The 22,701-nt window shown below is 34.3% G+C and overlaps 2 protein-coding genes and 1 pseudogene across 6 annotated transcripts in view; 1 reads left to right on the top strand and 2 right to left on the bottom strand.

Moving 5' to 3' along the window:
* HSPA4L (heat shock protein family A (Hsp70) member 4 like) overlaps positions 1-22,701 on the bottom strand; it is a 58,938-nt gene that overhangs the window by 23,637 nt on the left and 12,600 nt on the right. For 3 of the 5 annotated variants that reach the window (NM_001317381.2, NM_014278.4, NM_001317382.2), the window contains 10 exons: positions 21,189-21,329; positions 18,388-18,510; positions 15,860-15,959; positions 15,179-15,312; positions 13,224-13,468; positions 13,010-13,086; positions 11,873-12,024; positions 11,304-11,410; positions 8,968-9,101; positions 5,461-5,660 (listed from right to left, as the gene is read on the bottom strand). In NM_001317381.2, the coding sequence (NP_001304310.1) occupies positions 5,461-5,660; positions 8,968-9,101; positions 11,304-11,410; positions 11,873-12,024; positions 13,010-13,086; positions 13,224-13,468; positions 15,179-15,312; positions 15,860-15,959; positions 18,388-18,510; positions 21,189-21,329 (1,413 nt within the window). Of the gene's footprint in view, positions 1-5,459; positions 8,059-8,967; positions 9,102-11,303; positions 11,411-11,872; positions 12,025-13,009; positions 13,087-13,223; positions 13,469-15,178; positions 15,313-15,859; positions 15,960-18,387; positions 18,511-21,188; positions 21,330-22,701 lie in introns of those variants that run through there. The other 2 variants (XM_011531745.4, NM_001317383.2) reach the window with 2 other exon arrangements.
* RPL21P53 (ribosomal protein L21 pseudogene 53) lies at positions 3,857-4,423 on the top strand (annotated as a pseudogene).
* LOC112268470 (SOSS complex subunit C-like) lies at positions 6,074-7,844 on the bottom strand. Its single transcript, XM_047416529.1, has one exon. It carries the CDS (start codon positions 7,842-7,844, stop codon positions 7,620-7,622), a length of 225 nt encoding a protein of 74 aa, XP_047272485.1. The 3' UTR covers positions 6,074-7,619.

Below are 22,701 nucleotides of genomic sequence, written 5' to 3'. Positions count from 1 at the left end.
AAGACTCTGTCTCAAATTAAAAAAAAATCAATTATTTTTGATATTTCAACTCCCCTGCCCTACCTTACAACCTCCCCAACCCTGTTGATAGGTAAGATAGGTGAAAAAAGTGATAAAGTGTTGAGTTATTAACTCTAATTTTTGTATTACTCAGAAAAAAATGCTAAATGGTCACAATGCCTTATCACTTAGAATTTTTATATTTATTGAAAGAGCTCTTCTATTGTTTATATATTTATATCTTTCACAGAGAAAAGGAAAATAAACCAGATTAAGTAGTTATTTCTAAAATTTCTTCACATTCAGAATCCAACTCTTCTGAATCACTTAATCCAGTTGTTAATGTATATTTCTATACAATATCACTCTGTGTGTCATCAGGAGTATAAATGACCCAGCATTTGTTTAAAAGTTGCTCTAATATAGCCTCTAGTGTTTTCTTACAAGCCACTAACACCTATTCTACAAGACTTATGACTGTATCTTTATCACAACCTGTTTTCAACCAACCAGGACTCGTATTCCTTCCTTGAATGCTCCTTAAATGGTTTGTTCACTAAAATGTCAAGAGGTTGCCAACTATCTAGTCATGCCACTAGGAATTACAACCGAGTTCACAGATGCACAGGTGATGAGAAGTATCTCATGACTATTGCCATGATCAACAGCAAATATAAGATGTTATCATTTGCAAGACTAAGATACATTTAAAAGCAGAAAATTACACATCTTAAAATGGATATGAAATGGTAATAAACTGTTAATTCTTTAAAATGATTTTAAGATGTTTATAGAAATATTATCAATAGTGGGATAATTAATGGAAGTGCCTCTAGACTCTGACTTCACTGATAGATTTTAAACTCCATGGGAGTTGAAACCATCTTTCTGTTTGCTGCTATGACCAAGCACACATTTTAGGTACTCATAGCTATTTGCTAAATAAACATAAAGCACTTAAGAAACAAATCTAGATACTACCATGAACTTTAAGGTTTTACCCGATTTGTCGCTTGATTTACCCTCTCAATTTCATTTTTTTTCCTGCTATTCCCCCATTCTCCACACCTATATCCTATACACCAACCACTCTTCTATTTGTTACAACAACGAAAAAGAAGGCCTTCCTGTCTCAGTGCCTTTCTATTTGTTATTCACTCTGCCTGGACAACTACCTATCTACTCCTTACCCTTAAGCTGCCTTTTGCATCTTTCAGACTAGCTTACCTGTTCCTTCCTAAGTGGTTTCCTCATCACTATCACATAATTCCCACTATGCATCCCCATTAACTTCCTTTATATTTATATGCTATCTTTTTGCTTCATGCCTGTCCTCTCCCACTAGACTGTAAGTTATAGATGGGTGGCAACCTTTTCAATCTTGTTTAATCACTGTATCCCTAGTGCATAGAAGAGTCCTGGCTACACATAAGCAAATATGTGGAATTAAAAAAATAAATAGAAGTAAATAAAAAGATAAAGAACCCAAATGGTCAACAATTGGGAAATAAACTGTGGTACATTAGTAAGATGAATAGCATATAGTTTCTTTGATCCCTGGGTTTTGTGATATAGTTTAAGATGTGATAATTTTTTTTTTTTTTTGCAGACTATGTTATCCAGGCTGGACTCAAACTCCAGCCCCAGCGTCCTGAGTAGCTGTAACTATAGGCACAAACCAAAGTACCCGGGGCTTGATATGGTAATTTCTTAGTAAGTACCCGGAGCCTGATGTGGTAATTTCTTAATAAGTATTCAGGGCTTGATGTGGTAATTTCTTAATATGCCCCTGTATTAAATTATACCTACAAGAGAGGTGTCAATTTTCTCACATATCATTATATTGAAGTCAGCAAGCTCTATTGTGATTTTTCGGGAAAATCAATGCTATTTTAATTTTGAATTAGAAAATAACACATACAAAATAGTCTTTCATAAACTGACCCTCATAGAAAAAAAAAAGGCTCCTGCTGATGTTCACTGGTTTATGTCTGGGCCTCTTTATCTACCTCAGAGCCAGCAATACCATCAGCTAGGATAGAGTAAAAAGAAGAACTTATTATCTTATTATTCCACCCCTTGAAATTTAAACAATTAGCTTCCAGAGTCTTTGAATTGGTTCACTTTTTTGAGGGGAAGGGGAGACTACTTTATAATGGTATTTAAGTCTTTAAACTTCCAAATACAGAATTAAAGAGAAAAATCCTAGAGAGAACCATTAAAAAGTGCACAGGCCGGGCACGGTGGCTCACGCCTGTAATCCCAGCACTTTGGGAGGTAGAGGCTGGTGGATCACAAGGTCAGGAGTTTGAGACCAGCCTGACCAATATGGTGAAATCCCATCTCTTCTAAAAATACAAAAATCTGCCAGGCGTGGTGGCGTATGCCTGTAATCTCAGCTACTAGAAGGCTGAGGCAGGAGAACTGCTTGAACCTGGGAGGTGGAGGTTGCAACGAGCCGAGATTGTGCCACTGCACTCCAGCCTGGGCGACAGAGCGAGACTCCGTCTCAAAAAAAAAAGTAAAAAGTGCACAGAATATTTTCAACACAGTGTATTCAGCATCATCGCTTTTATTAGCAAGGAAAAGGAAATAAACTACAATTTATTCAATATTTATTATATTAGCTGTAGTAGGGATTTAAAAGATTTAGGCTGGGCATGGTGGCTCAAAAAAAAATTAAAAAAAAAGATAATACATATATGAATGTGCTCACCAACAATGCCAAGTATATGATCCATAATGTTAGCTACCTTTTTTCTTTTGATTACATACATTGTAAAAGAAATATTAAGGAACACATCACCTATCTAGAAATTCCTTGTATGGGAACCTCAACTGCCTGCAAATGTTCTAGCAAGCCAAAAACTATCATAAGCAGGTAAGTCTCTGAGTAACCAAAGCAGATGCCATAAATCCATGCACTTTATTCACAGGTGAACCCACTTAGTTCACATACAGAAATCATCCTTTAAAGCTTGGTTAACTGAATTTCCAGCTCACAGACAAACAGAAGCAGCAAATAAGAACTGCCAGGGGAAGTACAAGATGGGTACCATAATATTCTTGTTGTATTTTCAGTTCCCAGGATTCACTAATATTATATAAAGAAAATTAAAGGTCTCAGCAGAAATACTTAAAAAAAGATAAATGAGCCAGGCGCAGTGGCTCACACCTGTAATCCCAGCACTTTGGGAGGCCGAGTTGGATGGATCAGGAGGTCAGGAGATCAAGACCATCCCGGCTAACACAGTGAAACCCCGTCTCCACTAAAAATACAAAAAAAATTAGCTGGGCGTGGTGGCACATGCCTGTAGTCCCAGCTACTTGGGAGTCTGAGGCAGGAGAATCACTTGAACCCAGGAGGCAGAGGTTGTAGTGGGCCGAGATTGTGCCACTGCACTCCAGCCTGGGCAACAGAGCGAGACTGTCTCAAACAACAACAACAAAAAAATAGATAAATGATTATAAACACCTGGTCTTAGAAGGCATACAAAGCACTTTCAATTTCAGTAAAAATAAATCTTAATGGATTAAATTTACATATCTTAGTTATTGTGGATTATAATTTAAAATATTAACTTTTCACCAATTATTATGTTAATTTATGAAAAACTGTACCTTCACTAACAAATAAAGACATTTCCTCTTCCTCAATTCAAATAAGAAAGCGATTACAAAATGATACATGGAAAGATTGAAAGAAAAAGCCACAGTCCTTAAATGAAGTAGTTTAAAGTCTAGTGGTTGAATTCTGATCAATTTGGAAGAAAGATGCATAGTAATTATTAATAAAAACAAAAAGCAACCTTAAAAAAAGGGAGAAACTGTCTTAAAATAGAATAAAAGAAAATCGCCTTTCGGCTGGAACCGCCATCTTCCAGTAATTCGCCAAAATGACGAACACAAAGGGAAAGAGGAGAGGCACCCGATATATGTTCTCTAGGCCTTTTAGAAAACATGGAGTTATTCCTTTGGCCACGTATATGCGAATCTATAAGAAAGGTGATATTGTAGACATCAAGGGAACGGGTACTGTTCAAAAAGGAATGCCCCACAAGTGTTACCATGGCAAAACTGGAAGAGTCTACAATGTTACCCAGCATGCTGTTGGCATTGTTGTAAACAAACAAGTTAAGGGCAAGATTCTTGCCAAGAGAATTAATGTGCGTATTGAGCACATTAAGCACTCTAAGAGCCGAGATAGCTTCCTGAAACGTGTGAAGGAAAATGATCAGAAAAAGAAAGAAGCCAAAGAGAAAGGTACCTGGGTTCAACTAAAGCGCCAGCCTGCTCCACCCAGAGCAGCACACTTTGTGAGAACCAATGGGAAGGAGCCTGAGCTGCTGGAACCTATTCCCTATGAATTCATGGCATAGGTGTTAAAAAAAAAAAAAAATAAAGGACCTCTGGGCTACAAAAACAAAACAAAACAAAACAAAAACAAACAAACAAAAAATCTAGGGCAGACTTCCAATTGTAATTAGACAAAAAATCTAATGCCATTAAAAATAATGCACACAAATAATTCATGAGGAGCACACATAAAAAGATGAAAACGTTGTGTAATTAAATACGATAAAGTTCTCCTAAGATTCCTTCATCTATAGTATCCCCACAGTAAATTCAGGTCACATAACTCTTTAATAAAGTTAAAAAATCTGTTTTTTTTTTTGTTTTTTTTTTTTGAGATGGAGTCTCGCTCTATCACCCAGGCTGGAGTGCAGTGGTGCGATCTCGGCTCACTGCAAACTCCGCCTCCCGGGTTCACGCCATTCTCCTGCCTCAGCCTCCTGAGTAGCTGGGACTACAGGTACCTGCCACCACGCCCGGCTAATTTTTTGTATTTTTAGTGGAGACGGGGTTTCATTGTGTTAGCCAGGATGGTCTCGATCTCCTGACCTCGTGATCCACCCGCCTCGGCCTCCCAAAGTGCTGCGATTACAGGCGTGAGCTACTGCGCCCGGCCAAAAATCTGTACTTTAACATTACTGAATGTACAGCACATTCCTCTGCTTAACTGTCTCAGATGTCCCCCAAATAAACCCTGAAAAATTATTTATTAAGCATGTATTTTCAATCTAAAAAGAATGTATAGTTCAAAATTTATCATTCTGAAGTGGTTTTATCTGTAAGCTAAAAATCTAGCCATAATAAAATACATGTTTTAATGGAAGTTAAGAACTTAGGAAAGAATTCCAGGTTCACCTGCTCCATGTAATACTATGAAAGATGCACCAAACTCTTAAAAAGTATGTGACAACGTGAAAGATGTAAAGCATTGAAAATAGTATTATTCCTTAATGCTTTTATCAAAAGACTTTATACAGATTCCCACAGCAGAAAATCAAAGCAAAACCTCAGAGAGTAATGTATTCAACTATTAAAGTCCCAGTTATGATTAAGATATACTGTATACACTATCTATTACAAGAACATTGAGAAAGAATTTCTACATACCATATTATCTTTGTTTTCATTTTTAAATGAAGTTTCTGTCTCCATTGGAGCATCACTGTGATCGCCTTCCAAATTTTGCTTCTCAATTACTGATGCGCTAGCCACACTGAAGATTCCATGGATGTTAACACGAACTTTAACCTTCACTTTGGAACTATCACCATCAGACTGTGGAAAAACATTCTGAATAGTGAAGCTCCCTTAAGGAAAAAAGAACTCCAATCAGTATGTGAGCCTCAGATTAACTTATTCAATTCATTGAATAATTTGGCTATCATCTTTAAGATGTTGGCAAATAATCATCTTGGCAATAATTATGATCATATCCTGATTGATCACTATGGGGCAGGTACTTCCCCCAGATTATCTTTTATAAACCATAACAAACCTGTTATTAAGTCTCAGGAAGCTTAAGTAACCTGCTCAAAATCATCAATGCTAGGAAAAAAAAAAAAAAGCACTGGGAATTTAACCATGGACAATTTGATTCAAAGGCAGTAAGTTATCTCATAATACTGCTATTCTAAAACCAAAATAACAAGATTCACTTTCTGAATTTGAAAACAAAATAGATTTTTTTTGATATAAGCTTTACAAATCATAACCATCTTGGTAATTCATAAATAAAGCAATTCCAATTTTTATTTTTCCTATAGCAAAATACCTGCAGAGATCATTATCAATGCTTTAAGAAATCTACTGATGTTTTATTTCTCTAAAGAAATCTCATATATATATTATCTATAGAAGAGAGAACATTAGGCAGTAAAATCAGGTAGTAAAAAACTTGGATGACTTTTTTATGGGTTAAATTTTGCCCCCCACCTGCTCCCACACTGTGCGTAGTACCTCAGAACATGACTATGTGTGTTTTGTTTTGAGACACAGTTTCACTCTGTTATCCAGGCTGTAGTGCAGTGGCAGGATCATAGGTCACTGCAGCCTCAAACTCCCAGGCTCAAGCAATCCTCCCACCTCAGCGTTCAAGTAGCGGGGACTACAGGTGCATGGTACCATGTCTAGCTAATTTTTCTGATTTTTAGTACAGATTAGGTCTCACTATGTTGCCCAGGCTGGTCTTGAACTCCTGGGCTCAAGCAATCCTCCTGCCTCAGCCTTCCAAAGTGCTAGGATTACAGGCATGAGCCACCATGCTCAGACGTGACTGTATTTGGAGATACCTTGACTTCAGACTTCTAACCTCCAGAAATGAGACAACAAATTTCTAACGTTTAAGCCACCTAGCTTGTGGTACTTTGTTATAGCAGCCCTAGCAAACTAATATAATGTTCAATAATTTTACTGCTTTATATAATATCCTTGAAATATTTATAATATTTGTGCTGTCCCCTTCTTAGTCTATAAAGCAGTACATAGAAAAAAATTTAAAATTTGAAAATCCTTTTAAATGTTGTAATTTCATTTTATATCTTCTGAAAAGTTCACTCAGTTAAAATGGATATTACAATCTCCTATTCTCACTTTCCTTTTTTTTCTATTATTTTTAATTGCATTTAGTCACATCATTTATAATGATGTTTATAGAAGATGGTTTATAGAAGATGTTTATAGAAGAATATGTTTATAGAAGATGGTTAAGACTGGTTAGTAATTTATTCTTGGGGTTTGTTTTAAAGTGAGAAAGGGGGAAGTAGTTATGAGTTCAGAAATAATATTTTAGGATGATACATGTTGACTGTAAACTCAAAAGGTACACTGACACCAATCCTATAAACAGCAAATATGGATGTAACAGATTTAAGCTTATTGGTTCATTTTTTAAAAGTACTCTTGTTTCTTTAAAGTTAAGTACTATAAATGATTCTTGGAAATCTACTGTGGACATGATATATTCAGTCAAACTTGCTAGGGGTTGGGGAATGTTTTTGTGACCATCCAGTTCAGAGTCTGATTACTGTTAAACAGCATTACAAAAAAGTTACAGTTACGGTACATAATCAATTCCTTGGACGATACAGCCTCCACAGCTCTCATCATCCTGATTACCCTTCTTTCTGCTTTCACTTACACATTCCTTTAACAAACAAAAAATATCAAAGTTCACCAAAATTTTGAAAGTCACAGTTCATCTAGCACTGAATGACAGTAGCTTTGGCATTTGATATTACAAAGTCTCTTTTCCATCACAAATATTTTCTTCATTCTGGGTCAAGGCGAGGTAAAACAGGAAGAATCAGGTTCCCAAATGCAGAGTCTTGAGTTATGAAGTATCCAAATGAATGTGCATGAGCATGCTGCAAAGCTGCCTTCTGCTGGGCTGCAATATACTGCGGCTCAGCGTGATCCCAGAAGTCCTTATTAAGACAGGGTCTCGAGAGTGCAATGCTAGCTCCAGGATGATTTGTTGAAGACTGGTTCTGCATAAGTAGTCTTCTTTTCTCTTTGTCCAGTTCTGCCAAGATTGCAACTTGTTTTGAAAACCTTGTCCTGAAGAGTTTGATGCAATTTTCCTATTTTGTTTCAATTATGTGCAGTGGCAAATGGTGAGCACTTCACAATCACCTGGGATGCAAGAACTCCGGGACCGCCTCACCTTCCAATCGCCCTCACCTTCATATTAATCCAGTAATAGTCATTCTAGTTGTTGCCAGTAAACATTAAGTTTAAAATTAGAATATACCAATTAAAGTTTTTCAGTAAAAAATAATTATCACACAAACCTTTCAGGACAGTTACAGAGCATTTTATTTTGATAGAGGGAGTCTCACTGTGTCGCCTAGGCTGGAGTGCAGTGGCATAATCTCAGTTCACTGCAGCCTCTGCCTCCTGGGTTCGAGCAATTCTCCTGCCTCAGCCTCCTGAGTAGCTGAGATTACAAGTGTGTGCCACCACACCCAGCTAATTTTTGCACAGCATTTTAAATATAGAAGTAAAAATGAATTAGAAATATAGCTGTCCCCTCAGTATCCATTGAGTATTGGTCCCAGGTCTCTCTGAGGATGGAAGAACCTTTTATACATCATTTTGCATGTGAGTGAAATGGGGTCTCACTATACTGCCCAGGCTAGTCTTCAACTCCTGGGCTCAAGCAATCCTCTGGTAGTCAAGTCCCTTATTAAAAAAAATGACATAGTATTTTGTGTATAACCTACATACAACCTCCCAAATACTCTTAAGTCTATATCATCTCTAGGTTAATTATGATACCTACTACAAAATAAATGGTATGTCAGTAGTTGTTACATGTATTAATGACAAGAAAAAAAAAGTCTAGGCATGTTCAGTACAGACACTTGTTTTTCCTAATATTGGCTGAATGTACAGATGCCAAACTCATGAATACTGAGGGCCGACTGCAGTAAACCCTGCTGTCATTATAGAAATAAACTGAGCACTACAAATGCACATTTCTAGAAAGAGTATAAATATCTTTCTTTAAAAGTCCCATACTGGCTTAGCTGAAATGTCTATTTGTTTCCTTGATTCTAAAATAACACATTATTTATAAAAGGCCAAAATGTTATGGAGAACTTTTTTTTATCTTACCAATTCTTGCATCAGGATAAGGCACTTCATGTAAATTAGTATAAAATGCTTCTAGTTCAAATGGTTCCTTCTTGTGGAAAGTAATGACTTTTGAGAATGGGGCAGGATGGTTCTTACAGAAAACTTCACATTCCCTAAAATGGAGGGAAAGAACTCACTTAGAAACAAATAGAAAGTTGCCTATGAACCTATTTACTGAATCCATTTCATTCTTAATTCATTAGCAGCAACTGCAAAAATCTCTGCACAAATAAAAAGAAAAAACAATTACTGATTTTGCTCTAAACATGCATTGCAACAGATTTATGGCTCAAAGTTTTCATAATGTCTATCATAATAACAGACAACTGTATACTATTAAAAAGAGAAAAATTACCTGAGAATACGTATATTTTAAGGCCAATGTGTATGGTTTTTTTCCCTCACATATGAGGGCCAAGTCCTACCCATTAACTTCTAAAATACTTGCCACCTATTACCCTTTTAATTCTGGCTACCTTTAATAGAAACTTTTGTTTGCAAATAATTTTAAACCTATGAAAAGGTGCAAAATTAAAAATAGGACAAGGAACACTTGTATATCTTTTACCTAGATTTGCTACTTTACTCCATTTGTTTCATCATCTGAGTGCACACACTTTCTGTATATATTTTTCCTGAACCAACCGAGGGTTATACATACATTATGGTGCTTTACCCCTAAAAACGTCAGTGTGCATCCTAATAGGGATATTCTCTGATGCTTTACCTATTCATATTTCCATCTTTTTTTCAGTTGATACAACAATGTCCTTTGCAGCATTTTACCCCTCCAATACAGGGAGTTTTTAAAACCTACATAGCAATTCCTATTCCTTAAATTGTTTAACAGAAACAGTTTATGACTATTTGTTATAGTGGCCCAGAAACCAATCTTTAATACTATATATCATCCTATTACTATAAGTATGGAAGATTTTAAAATCTTGAATCCACAAACTTCTTACTCTATCCTAGTTTTCAAGAAACTACCAATACCTTCTACTTTCTTTTTGTAGTCATTAGGCTATATTTACTTTTCAATTTAGCTCCCCATACGTTTTCTTACAATTTTTTTCTGGATCACTTATACCTTGAAACTGAAATTAAATTTTATAGAATAATGATTCTTGCCTCAAAATTGACATTATCTGGGGCAGACAGGTGAAAAATTATTTAAAAAGAAAAAAACTGACATTAACACATGCCATTAAAATCTTTTGCAAGACATTCAGATAAGGCTGAAAATCCATATTTTTGAAATGTATACAAAAATCTCATTTTCTTGGGGGTACTTATGTACAGAACACAGAACAAAATTTAAAAAATAACTTCAAAATGTAAACACACCATTATTCATTGTACAAGCTATACTTCTGAAAAGCAGTCAAGTAAAATATTTGAAATATAAATTTTGATTCTGGTAGGGAAGCAGGCTACCTAAATCCTGGGCAGTTCATGGAAAAAAATGTAAATGTTAATGCAAGCATGAAAATATTGTAGCTTATGACAGAGGGAAACATTAATTTAATAACAGTGCTTTTTTTAAAATATTGGCATGTTCAATTAAAAGTACAGGAGAAAATGAGCTAAAAGAGGCAATCTCATGAAAGTTAATAGGAATATAAACCAGTATCCTTTTAGTGAATAATTTGCAAATATTACTCAAAATAATGTGCATATTCTTTGGCTAAACAATTCCATTCCTACACTGCTGTCTTACAGATATACCAAGCACAACTGAACAAGGGTTTGTGCACAAGGATGTTCTTACTAGCACTGTTTAAAATAGCAAAAATATGACTTAATACTGTATTGGTTAAATTTATTATGGCACATATAACTATTGAAAAAACAGTTACTGTCTGTTGACATGGAAAAATAAAATACAATATAATTAAAAAAGCTAAGTTGCACTAGAGATTTATAGATAATTCTATATGTACCTAAGAAATGTATGATTTTATTTATTTATGGATAGTCAAAGAAAATGACTGGACAGATAAACTAGCTTTTAAAAATGTTTATGTCTGTAAAATGGGCTAAGAGAGAATATGACAAATGCAGGTCTTTTTTATACTTCTATACTGTGATTTATTTGAAAATGAGCCTTGTTTTACTTTTATAAAAAACATAAATTTAAAAATATGCCCAATTATGATTTATAGGTGATATATCATTTTTATATCTCTTTAATACATTATTTTAAAGTATTTGGCAGAATTTTAAGAAGCGTAAATTTCTCTAATTTAGAAAAGTAGGTTTAACTGGGTAAAGATTTATGACAAGCTCTAATCAAGGTTTTAAAAATAACTTACCCACTTCCATCTTCAAAAGAGGTCTTCCACCTTAATGTGATTGAATAGGGAACAAGGTCTGTTATGGAAAATTCACGCACTTTAAATGCTGGTGAGAGAATCGCACACTGAAAATAAGATGTATACCATATTTAAATCAACAAATACAAAACATACCCTAGGTTACTCTGATTGAACTGCTTAATAGAGTCCTCCTATTACAACTGTTACATTTTAAAAGTTACTGGTTTTTGGCAATGAGAAGTGAAAATTTAAAAGGGCCTGAGTACTCTTTATGTGACCTTATAAAAATTAACAGAATATCTTTACATCTCCAAAAGGGATTTTAAATGGGCAGACTGCAATAATTTGTAAAATTAATATTCTTTCAGTGTCCTTACAGACACACTGTCCTATTATAGCTTAAAAACATAAATGGGAAAGACATAAGACTTATTTATCAGAAATAACTTCAATTTACTTTAGCTTATTGATAAGTGGATGGAACAGATAACATTAAAAGGCCCCTTTGGATCTATCACTCATTTCTGGCAAAATACATATTCTAAAAAATAAAATAACAATTATACCTGTAACGCACATCCTCTTGCAACAGCTTCATCAGCATTTAATGTGGTACTTATGTCTTTAAGAAAGAATTTAGTGATTTGTTCTTTCACTGCAGGAATTCGTGTTGCTCCTCCTACAATTTCTATACTACTAATGTCTTCACGTTGTAAGTCTGGAAAATTTTTTTAATTGAGAAAAATGATAGTCTTTAAAAATCTCAACAGAAGGCTTTGTCGAGTACTTTTTTAAAAAGTGGATTGACTTTTTACTTGTCAGAAAATAAAAGGGAAGAAAAATACAATTTTTAGAAAGATATAACATTTAATAAATATTATTTATGTGACAGGCAATGCACTTGGTCCAACTTGGTCCAGATGATGGAGTGGCAATAGAAAGAGAAAAGCACTTCATGGGTTTTAAAGGAGCTCTTCAGAGTCCTTCAATTTTCTTATTTCTACCTCCTAAATCCCTATAGAAGATATTTTTAATTGATTACCAAAATCCTTACGAAAAAGCAATTATGTCCCCATTTCTACATTAATTTCATTTTAGAATCATCTATAGTTTATAAACACTTCCAAATAGAACTAGCATGAGTGTGTGTGTGTGTGTGTGTGTGTGTGTGTGTGTGTGTGTTTTGAGACAGAGTCTCACTCTGTTGCCCAGGCTGGAGTGCAATGGCGTAATCTCAGCTCACTGCAACATCCGCCTCCCAGGTTCAAGTGATTCTCCGGCCTCAGCCTCCTGAATAGCTGGGGTTACAGGTGCGCACCATCATGCCTGGCTAATTTTTGGAATTTTAATAGAGATGGGGTTTCACCATGTTGTCCAGGCTGGTCTTGAACTCCTGACCTCAGGTGATCCACCCACCTCGGCCTCCCAAAGTGCTGGGATTACAGGCATGATCCACCGTGCTTGGCCAGAACTAGCATGAGATTTATGATATAAACAATAAGAAGATCCAGGAAGAATTCTCATAAACCCAGAATTATACTGCCTTACTCTTATGAATAATGAGTTATAATCTCCTTCCCTAAAATGAGAAATATAAATCTTTTTAAAAAACAAAGTTTTAAAAATTTATTTTATCATTATCTACCCCCGCTAAGTAGGCAACATTATGGTACAGTTTTGATAGTCCAGTAATTTCCACTTACTAGCTTGTTCCATTACTGCTTTTAAAGGTGGTTCAACCCTGGCCAAAAGGGAAGCACACAGTTGTTCAAATTGAGCCCTGTGAGAAAATAGAATAAAATTCATTATTCTGGGATTAAAAGTTGAGCGTATCTTCTAAAACAACAAACAAATCAGACGTGATCTAAACATTATAAAATAAGTAAACACTTTTCAAACTAAAAACATACGTGGTACCTGTTCATTTTACTAGAAACATCAAGGTCATTCATGAAACACTCAATGTTCAATGGAAGATCTGATGCATTTGCACTCATTAGCTTCTTTAGTTTTTCACATTCCTGATATAAACGCAACAAGGCCCGAGAGTTTTCTTTCACATTTATCTTATATTTGGTCTTGAACTCATCACAGAAGTAGTCTACTAAAGCCTCATCAAAGTTCCTGCCACCCAAATATGGATCAAAGGTAGTAGCCAAGACCTGTTTAATTGAAAAAGCAGAACTGTATTTTCAGAAATATAGATTCTTCCAAAAAAAAAAGAAAAACCTCTAAAATAAAAAAATGTAAAAATAAAAATGACGCTAAAAAAACTTGTCCAATCACAGGGGTGCTGAATTTGGAATCAGAGTTAAATTATCACTTATATTTAGTCAACATATTTCCTTATTCTGAATTTTCTACTTTATAGTTACAGATCCATATATCATAATTAAAAGAATTCTAATTCAGAAATAACTGAATTACAACTAAAGCCTCATTATCTCAGTCACTTGGTTCTACAACAGCACTGAACAGATAGACCAAAACCAAGTTTAAGAGAGCAAAGAAACAGTCCTAAGCATATAAACATGAGCAAAACATCCAAGAAAAGCAGATTCAAAGATTAAATATAAAATACCATAATTGGTCAATTTACGGATCAGAAATTAGGCCTTTTGACTATTACAAAAAAACAGAAACAAAAACAAAACACACAAAAAAACAAAAAACACAACCAAAAAACCAACCAACAAAAAAACCAGGTAACAATGTAACAAGCTGGTTGAGCAACAGGCTTCCCAGCAGAAGAGAGTCATAGAAATTCAACACTACAGTTCTTGAAAACATAGGACCAAACATCTAGGCTCTCTCCCTAGGGTTAAATGACTACTTACAACAGTCACTAATAAAGAATCCTACTGTTGGGGTGGTTTTGCAGCTCTTTCATTATAAGGTGGGTGGTGGGGTGGTAGTATGGTGGTAAATATCACAGGAGGATATGAGTACAATCTGCGTGGAATGTCGCCCCACAGACTAGCATGGAGAATCCATGTATAGACCTCTCATGAAGTCTAGTATTACCCAAAATCAAATGCAAAATTATCTTGGTATATAACTAGTACAGGTGTGTATTTTGGAAGAAGGGCTATAGCCTTGATCAGATTTTCAAACGGGTCTGTGATCTAAAAATCGTATTTCACTACAAAGTTACCTACTAAAAAGGAAGGAAAAAAACGTTCTTTTTAAAGTAAGTTAATATGTAAGACTAAAGGCCAAGGATTAAGTCAATCTATACTGAAAATTACCCTATATTCAGTCTGAGTCATTTCCCTTTAATTTTTTGATTACAAAGATGCTATTATAGTAATATAAATTAAGACAGAATACTCTTGCAGTGTTGCAGTTTATCTCCTAAGTAAACTCTACTCTGTGCATACTGGAGAGAGATCATAAGTCTGGACAAAAGAATCAATGTAAAAATGATTATAAACCTAATTTGTAAGAAGCACACAGAAGTAAAATTACGATTAGAACGCTTGGATAGAAAGGTTTCTAAAATCAATGGGAATCATTTTAGAAAATGCTTCCTGTAATTACATTTATGGATAAATAATTTATGCTTCCTGATAGATGACTTAACAACCTAACAATAGAAACAACAATAAAAATAGCTAATATATATTATAGCAGCTACCCTATGCCAGGCTTTCCAAGAATTTTGTACACATTAACTCATTTTGTCCTGAAAAATTATATGAGGTAGTTACTACTGTTGTTCTCAGATAAACAAACTGAAGATTTAGGGAGATTAAGTAACTTGCTTGAGGTCATAGTTTAAGGGGCAGAGCCAGGATTCGAACCCAGCTATTACGGTTCTTTAGTCTGTGTTCTTAACATATGTAAATATAACAAACCATGTGTTTACTTACTTTAAGTTTTCCTTTGTTAAAAGCACAAACCAAGACCTGATAGGCAGAATGTCCCATATCAATAAATACTACATTTCTTGGTTTCTCATCTAATGGGGGAAGATCCTGTTTATAAATTCCATACGCCAGTGCAACTGTATAAGAACAAAGAATTATGTTAATTCTAGCACAGTAATTACTTGGAAAACAAGAAATGTCACTTTGATACTGTACTTTAATATGCAGTATAGTAATACATATTATTATCTTCAAAGTAAATGAACTTTTCACAATTCGGTTAATAATGCTTTAACTTTATTTTTTCCTTACTCATCTATAACTCTGTAATAGTAAAGATTTGTAAAGCCATTAAGACATATTTAACCTCTGCCAAAAAGTTGTACTACAAAGTAACAAGCTTATAAGAATCAGTACATACACACACACACACACACACACACACACACACACACACACACACGTATTTTTATATATATCAAATTTTTTTAAAGAGACTGTGTCTAGCTCTGCCTCACAGGCTGAAGTGCAGTGGTATGATCATAGCTCACTGCAGCTTTCAACTCCCAGGCTCAAGCAATCCTCTTGCCTTGGAGTTAAAAAAAAATAATGCTTTGTTAATAATTAGAAAAAAACTAGAACAGTATTTTGCTTATAGTGATTTTCAAATTGCAAAGTGCTCACCTGCAGTAGTTTCATTCATCAACCTTAAACAATTTAAGCCTGCAACCTGGGCTGCAGCCATCACAGATCTTCTCTCGGCATCAGTAAAAAAGCTAGGAATCTAGTATTTAAAAACAACAGTTAAGTATAATGTTTTATGTAAACATTTTGTCAACTGAAAAATATAATTACCCTAAAACTTATGTACAGTTTAAGGCAAATAAAGATGTTCTAACTAAAGAGGAAAAATACTAGTGTTTTATTTTTTAAGTTTGACAATTTCTATACCATAAAAATCTGACCTAAAGTATGAATACTAATTTAAAGTAAGGTAATATGGCAGAGTTGCCTAAGTTTTATTCGTCTAAATACTTCCTGTGTTATTCTGATCTATTAAAAATATATTTGCTCATCTTTCATAATAAAAAACTGAAAACTCAAGAGTCTGAAAATGAGATTAGAGAAATATATTATGGTATATCCATATAATGGAATCCTATGTAGCTGTTACAAAGAATCAGGTAGATCTGAATTGTTATGGAATTCTATCTTTATTATGTTAAAAAAGGGCACATATAACATTACTTCATTATCGTGCGTATATACACCCAACCAGAAGAATACAGTCCCAACTGTTTAAAACAATTATATTTCAAAGGAGGGGAACTATATTGTAGGGAACTTGTGATAAATAGGAATTTCCTTTAACAATCACCAAATAACATTGAAAAAATATACATACATACATACACACATACATATATATGTATACAAAATTTTTTTTTCTGAAAGAGACTGTGTCTAGCTCTGCCTCACAGGCTGAAGTGCAGTGGTACAATCATAGCTCACTGCAGCTTTAAACTCCTGGGCTCAAGCAATCCTTTTGCTTCAGCCCCCTGAGTAGCTGAGACTACAGGTGTGTGCCACCATGCCTGGCTAGTTAAAAAAAAACAAAACAAAACTGTAGAGACGGGTCTCACTATGGTTGCCCAGGCTGGTCTGTTAACTACTGGCCTCAAGCAATCCTCCTGCTTTGGTCTCCCAAAGTACTAGGGTTACAGACATAAGCCGCCATGCCCAGCCCATTAACTACATCTCTATTTAAAAATTAAACTCAGTCTTAAAATGTATAAAGATGTACGTATGTATACACCCTAGTTTTATCAAACTGAGAAGTATTTTGACATATAGACCCATTTCTAAAAAGCTATTAAGTGTATTTACATATAAAACAACTTGGGCTCTTCCAGTTTTAAGTTTCAAATAAGTAGCTTCCTTTAATTTTATTGTTTTATGAATTTAGAAATTTCATTGAACAGATTAGCAACAGGAAAAGAATATAAATTTTGCTGATTTGGTATTATCCTCCTGACAAAAATCTAAGTTATCATGCATGGTTCATTTAATATTCATTGAGCACTTACAAACCAGGTACTTTTCTAGCTACCAGGAAAACAGTGCACAAACCAGACAAAATACTTGTCCCTGTAGAGCTTACAATGGGTCTACTGCACCAACCACAAAGTTAATAATGGTCAAAAGTTTGTATTACTCTGTTCTGACATGAATTTCTGACACACAAGGAAAAATATAATTAAATAGAAATGGATTTGAATTTAAGACGAATCTTTAAAATTTGTATGATTCTAACATATCCTTTCAAGTGGCAGTATAACAATTATGAGCATGGGCTTGGGAATTAACTATCTGGCTCTAACACTATATTAGCTGTGCTGATTTTGGGCAAGTTATTTGACATCTCAGTATCCTACTTTTTGAATCTGTAAAACTAGGGTTAATAATATCCCTACCTTATAGATTGCTTCTGAGATTAAATGGGTTAAAATGCCTATAAATAGTACCTGGTCAATGGTAAACTCTATTATTTGCTATTACTAAATGGCTAGAAAATAAAATATTAAGCTCTAATATTTTTCTCCCATTAAAAAAATTCCAAATGCCTATGAAAAAAAATTGATTACTAAACTCACTGAAAAGTTCATCATCTGATTCTGTTTTTCTGATGACATAAGACTCTTGAACTTTTGTAGTCAAGTTGAATAGTAGGAATATATCAATTTAGTTAACATGTAGGTAAAGAACCAGTTAACAATGTTTAATGGGACCTCAAGAGATAAGACGGTAAATAATTTAAATGTTAAGAATCCTTAAAGATCTTTTTTTTCCCCTGATACACAACCTCAAATTCCCAACTAGAAATTTTCAACCTTTGCTATAAAATGTTAAGGTCCTCACAGGTGGGAAGTTAATTGCTATCTGAGAAGATTCTTAGGGATAAATCCCAGATAGCAGCAGTCACTAGTTACATAACAGTTTTTTAAGAGTCACTGCTCATCATAATTGATTTTATGGGAAATTCAATCCTAAACTTTAGCAAATAAGGCAGTTTTTTTAAAAAGAAAGTCAGATGGATTTAGGTTATTTACTGGATAAGGGCAGAAAGTGTAAGGGAAGAAAAATCTTTCAATATTACATTAATACACTGTAAAATATAATTCAAGGGTATTCATTACTGAAGTAAAACTTACTGAAATCACACAGTCAGCCACTGGTTTCTTCAAAGCATTTTCTGAAGTCTCTTTAAGCTTGGCTAACAGCATTCCAGTAACTTGCTCAATTGCAAAAGGTCTCTCTTCCTCTAAGTACCGCACCTAACACCAAAAGTTGGGATATTTATTAAGAGTCATTTGTTTATCCAACAAATATTCAGTGAGCACCTACTGTATATGTGATAGACATACAATGGGAAAAAGACACCCTTGCTCAAGGAAGTTTTATTCCAGAAAGATTGTCATTTTAGAATCATGATCCCATTAAAAACAGTGACTATGTCATTTCTGAGGCTGTAGTACCTTACAGACAGTATTATAACCAAAGTATTTTCAAAAGTGTAGTTTCTACCCTCTCAGATCCCCACTTCCCACAAAAACAATTTTTATAATTCATTTTCCAAATGTGACACAGCAAACAATGAAAAAGGAAAAGATCAAATAATCTTTCTTTTGAAAGTCAGAACTCTCCCTGGGTTTAAAATAAAAGCTTCAGTCATACAGTTTTGGAAAAGGAAATGAGAACATCATTCTTTCAAGCAGCACAATGTGTTTATGTATATGAGTATGTATAAATATATATATCTAATGACATAAGATTTACTCTGAATCAGACCTAAAATTGATAAGCATTTGTTTCCAAACCTATTTACAAGTAAATTCAAAAACAAGTATTATGCCAAATTACTGCCTTTAAACCAGGGGTGCATAAAGAAATCAAGCAAACAGAAATAAGAGAAAATGAATCATAGTCTTAATCTGACTTTTGGAGGCATGATCATACAGTATTCTTTTGTATAAGAATATTCTATGTAATCCCAGGACCTTGGGAGGCCGAGGCGAGCAGATCATGAGGTCAGGAGATCAAGACCATCCTGGCTAACACGGTGAAACCCTGTCTCTACTAAAAATACAAAAACTTAGCTGGGCGTGGTGGCAGGTGCCTGTAATCCCAGCTACTTGGGAGGTTGAGGCTGGAGAATGGTGGGAACCCGGGAGGCAGAGCTTGCAGTGAGCCGAGATTGCGCCACTGCACTCCAGCCTGGGAGACAGAGCAAGACTCCGTCTCAAAAAAAAAAAAAAAAATTTTTTTTAAAGTTAGATGAAATAAATTTAAATAAATGTATAAAAAACAAATGTATAACATGCTTGAGGAGTTGAACATTGATTTTCTTAAGTCTTCAAAAGATGATGTTTCAAAGCTTTTTCTACTAGCTTACAGGCACTTACTATGAATGTATAAAATTATATCACTCAAAACTTTGGTTCTGCCTTTCTTTAAAAACATTATTCTGTTTTTCTCAGCCTATTCTCAAAGCCTGATCTATTAATTTTCACTTTAAGAAGTTAAACTACTTACAAAATTAAGTAGTTCAAATTTTAAACTGGAGTAGAATAAAACTGCTCTAGGTAACCATTAACTAGAGCTTATCATATCTAAAAGATATCTGAATATTATTTTTTATCTCAGTTGTTACTATCATAACCCATCCAGCTACTCACTTTAGTAACCTGAAAATTTCACCTAAAATATGGATTTACAATTTGTTCCCTGTCTTCAACTTCTCATGGTGTCTTCCTCAACTATTTTAACAGCCTCCTGTCTCCTTACTACGATTCATCATCCACCTTTTAGTCAGAACCCTCTTCTAAAAATGGAACTGTGTACATATCCATAACACATATATCAAGTCTAAAATTAGTTACTAAAAATAACTTTCTTAAGAGATAATTTGCACAGCATTAAGTTTATCCTTCTGAAGTGTACAATTCAGTATATTCACAAAGCTGTGCACTGATCACCATTATCTAATTGTAGAACATTTTCATCACCCAAAAAGAAACCCATTAGCAGTCACTCTCTATTTTTCCTTCCCCTTAACCCTTAGCAACCACTAATCTGACTTTGTTTCTATGAATTTGTTCTACTCTGAACATTCTATATAAAAGGAATCATACAGTATGTGGCCTTTTGTATCTGGCTTCTTTCACTTGGCATGTTTTCAAAGTTCATACATGTTGTAGCACATACCAGTACTCCATTCCTTTTTATGGGCAAATAATATTCCATGTGTTAAGATATACCACATTTTGTATATCTACTCATCAGTTGATAGAAACTTGTATCGTTTCCACTTTTTGGCTATTATGAACAATGCTTTTATGAACATTCATGTACAAGTTTTTATGTGTACGTATGTTTCAATTCCCTTGAGTATAAGCCCAGGAGTGGAATTTCGGGGCCATATAGTAAGTAGTTCCATGTGTTATGAGGCTAGTTTTTGAAAAAAATCAGCACAAACATGTTTTGGTTAACTAATCTACAACTATCTCAGAATATAAAATTAAAAATTCAGAATCCATCTCTTACTTGGAAGAAAAGTATGCTTTAACATTTATAGTATAAGATTCTTCTAAATTAGAACTCATTAAACTCATTACAGCTATTAACATACTTTTTGGGTCCATTCTTCTGAATTAACATACTTTTTGGGTCTATTCTTCTGAATCCTATATACCTTCATTTTTATCCCCTAAAAACTATTCTCTTGAGTCTCAATAACCACTTTTTTCCTTGACAATAATAGTGTGATTTGAATGAAAAAATTATCTAAATTAGATCTCCTGGCATTCACTAAAATTATTACAAAAACTACTATCTCTTCGGTGTGTATGTACTGTATCTAGAGGAAAAAGGTCAAACTACAAATAGCAATATTATCACATTGGGTTTACTTAATTTGAAGATATGTTTGTAACCCTGGGAATATAAAGCTTACCTTAACTCCTGCACTTCCATTAGGCATTTTCTGCAGTTCATAGGGAAGCCTGATCCTTTCAGTTTGCACAATGGGATCATCAAATGATCGCCCATGAAGCTTTTTGAAGCCATGAATTGTATTTCTTACGTTCGTGACTATCTGTTGGCAGTAAACACTTGTATTTATCAGTTACCTAATAAATGCAAAATAAAATTCTATCCTAGTACTTGACAACCACCAAGTTCCTTTATCCTACACATCCAAGTTTAGGATTACAAATAATCATTCATTTTTTCTGGTTTCCAACTGATGGTAAAGTCATACAATGAGAATGTACACATTTTAACACTTGCCTCCCAAATTATCCACCTATCCTGGGAATGTTAGATTCAAAATTAATGTCTTCAGAAGAGAACGAATAAACCTTTAAAACGTTTCAAATTACAAATATCTACAACTCATCTTTTTGGTTTTCCTCGAGCTTTTGCTCTAGTGAATTAGTACGAGCTGAACATCCCAAATCCAAAAATCTGAAATCTAAATACTTCAATGAGCATTTCCATTGTGCATCATGTTGTCACTTAAAAAGTTTCAGATTTTGGAGCATTTTGGATTTCAGGATTTGGGATGGTCAACCTGTATCATGCAAATATTCCAAAATCTGAAAAAATACAGAATCTGAATACTTCTGGTCCCAAGCATTTCTTATAAGGGATATGCAGCCTGTATCTTTGATTATTTATTTCCACTTCCATTTCTGTGTTTTAATTTAAACTGGTTTATTATTGTCTAGGTTTTTTTTTCCTCTCCATATCTAATTCTTTGTGAAAATCTTCATGTACTACCATGTTGCTTCCATTGCTGCAGATTGCTCCTAGGCTAGTAAATTAAAATCCCTTCCATGTAGCATAGTGCTAAATGAAAGTATCTTAATTTGTAAATGGCTTGCATTTTTGCAAAGCAATTTTTTCTTTAACTAGAATATGCAGTTCAAATTACAGAATATTACTGAGATCCAGTTGCTATAATCCTAGTGACCTTTAAAGCCAAACAGACCTTGATCTTCAATTATGACATGAAAACTATAGGGATGCTGAATTACTATGTTGCTCTCTTTAACTCCTTAGGAGAAATGACTTTAAAGGCTGCTTTTAGAGACTCTGATTATCTGTGACACACTTAGAAGGTCAGCCAGAATATGAGATATAAGACCCAGATATATATAAAATGCAAGAAATAATTGTTAAGGGCTTTTAGTTCAGGGAGGTAATGAAAGTCCAAGGAAAATCAGTTTATAACATGGAATGTTAAAAGTCAACGTTCTAATCATAAAGATTTCAAAAGCCTAAAAATATAAATACTTCAACAAATTCTATGTAAATTAGTGGTAGCCACGTTGAGTTACTCTGGAAATTAGTTCTTTCATTTTTCCTACCTTATTTTACAAAGATGTTACTTAACTATCATTGAAATGTATGTTCTAGACAGAATATCCCTCATTATTCTCTGGATGGTCACCTGAGGGACCATT

This window comes from Homo sapiens, chromosome 4 (assembly GCF_000001405.40).
Source record: "Homo sapiens chromosome 4, GRCh38.p14 Primary Assembly".
NCBI classification, from domain to species: Eukaryota; Metazoa; Chordata; class Mammalia; order Primates; family Hominidae; genus Homo; species Homo sapiens.
This window is presented reverse-complemented; position numbering and strand designations above follow the sequence as displayed.

Bases quoted from the DNA above. Each gene is read 5' to 3' on its own strand.
- LOC112268470 (XM_047416529.1), bottom strand. From the start codon at position 7,844: ATGCAGAACCAGTCTTCAACAAATCATCCTGGAGCTAGCATTGCACTC.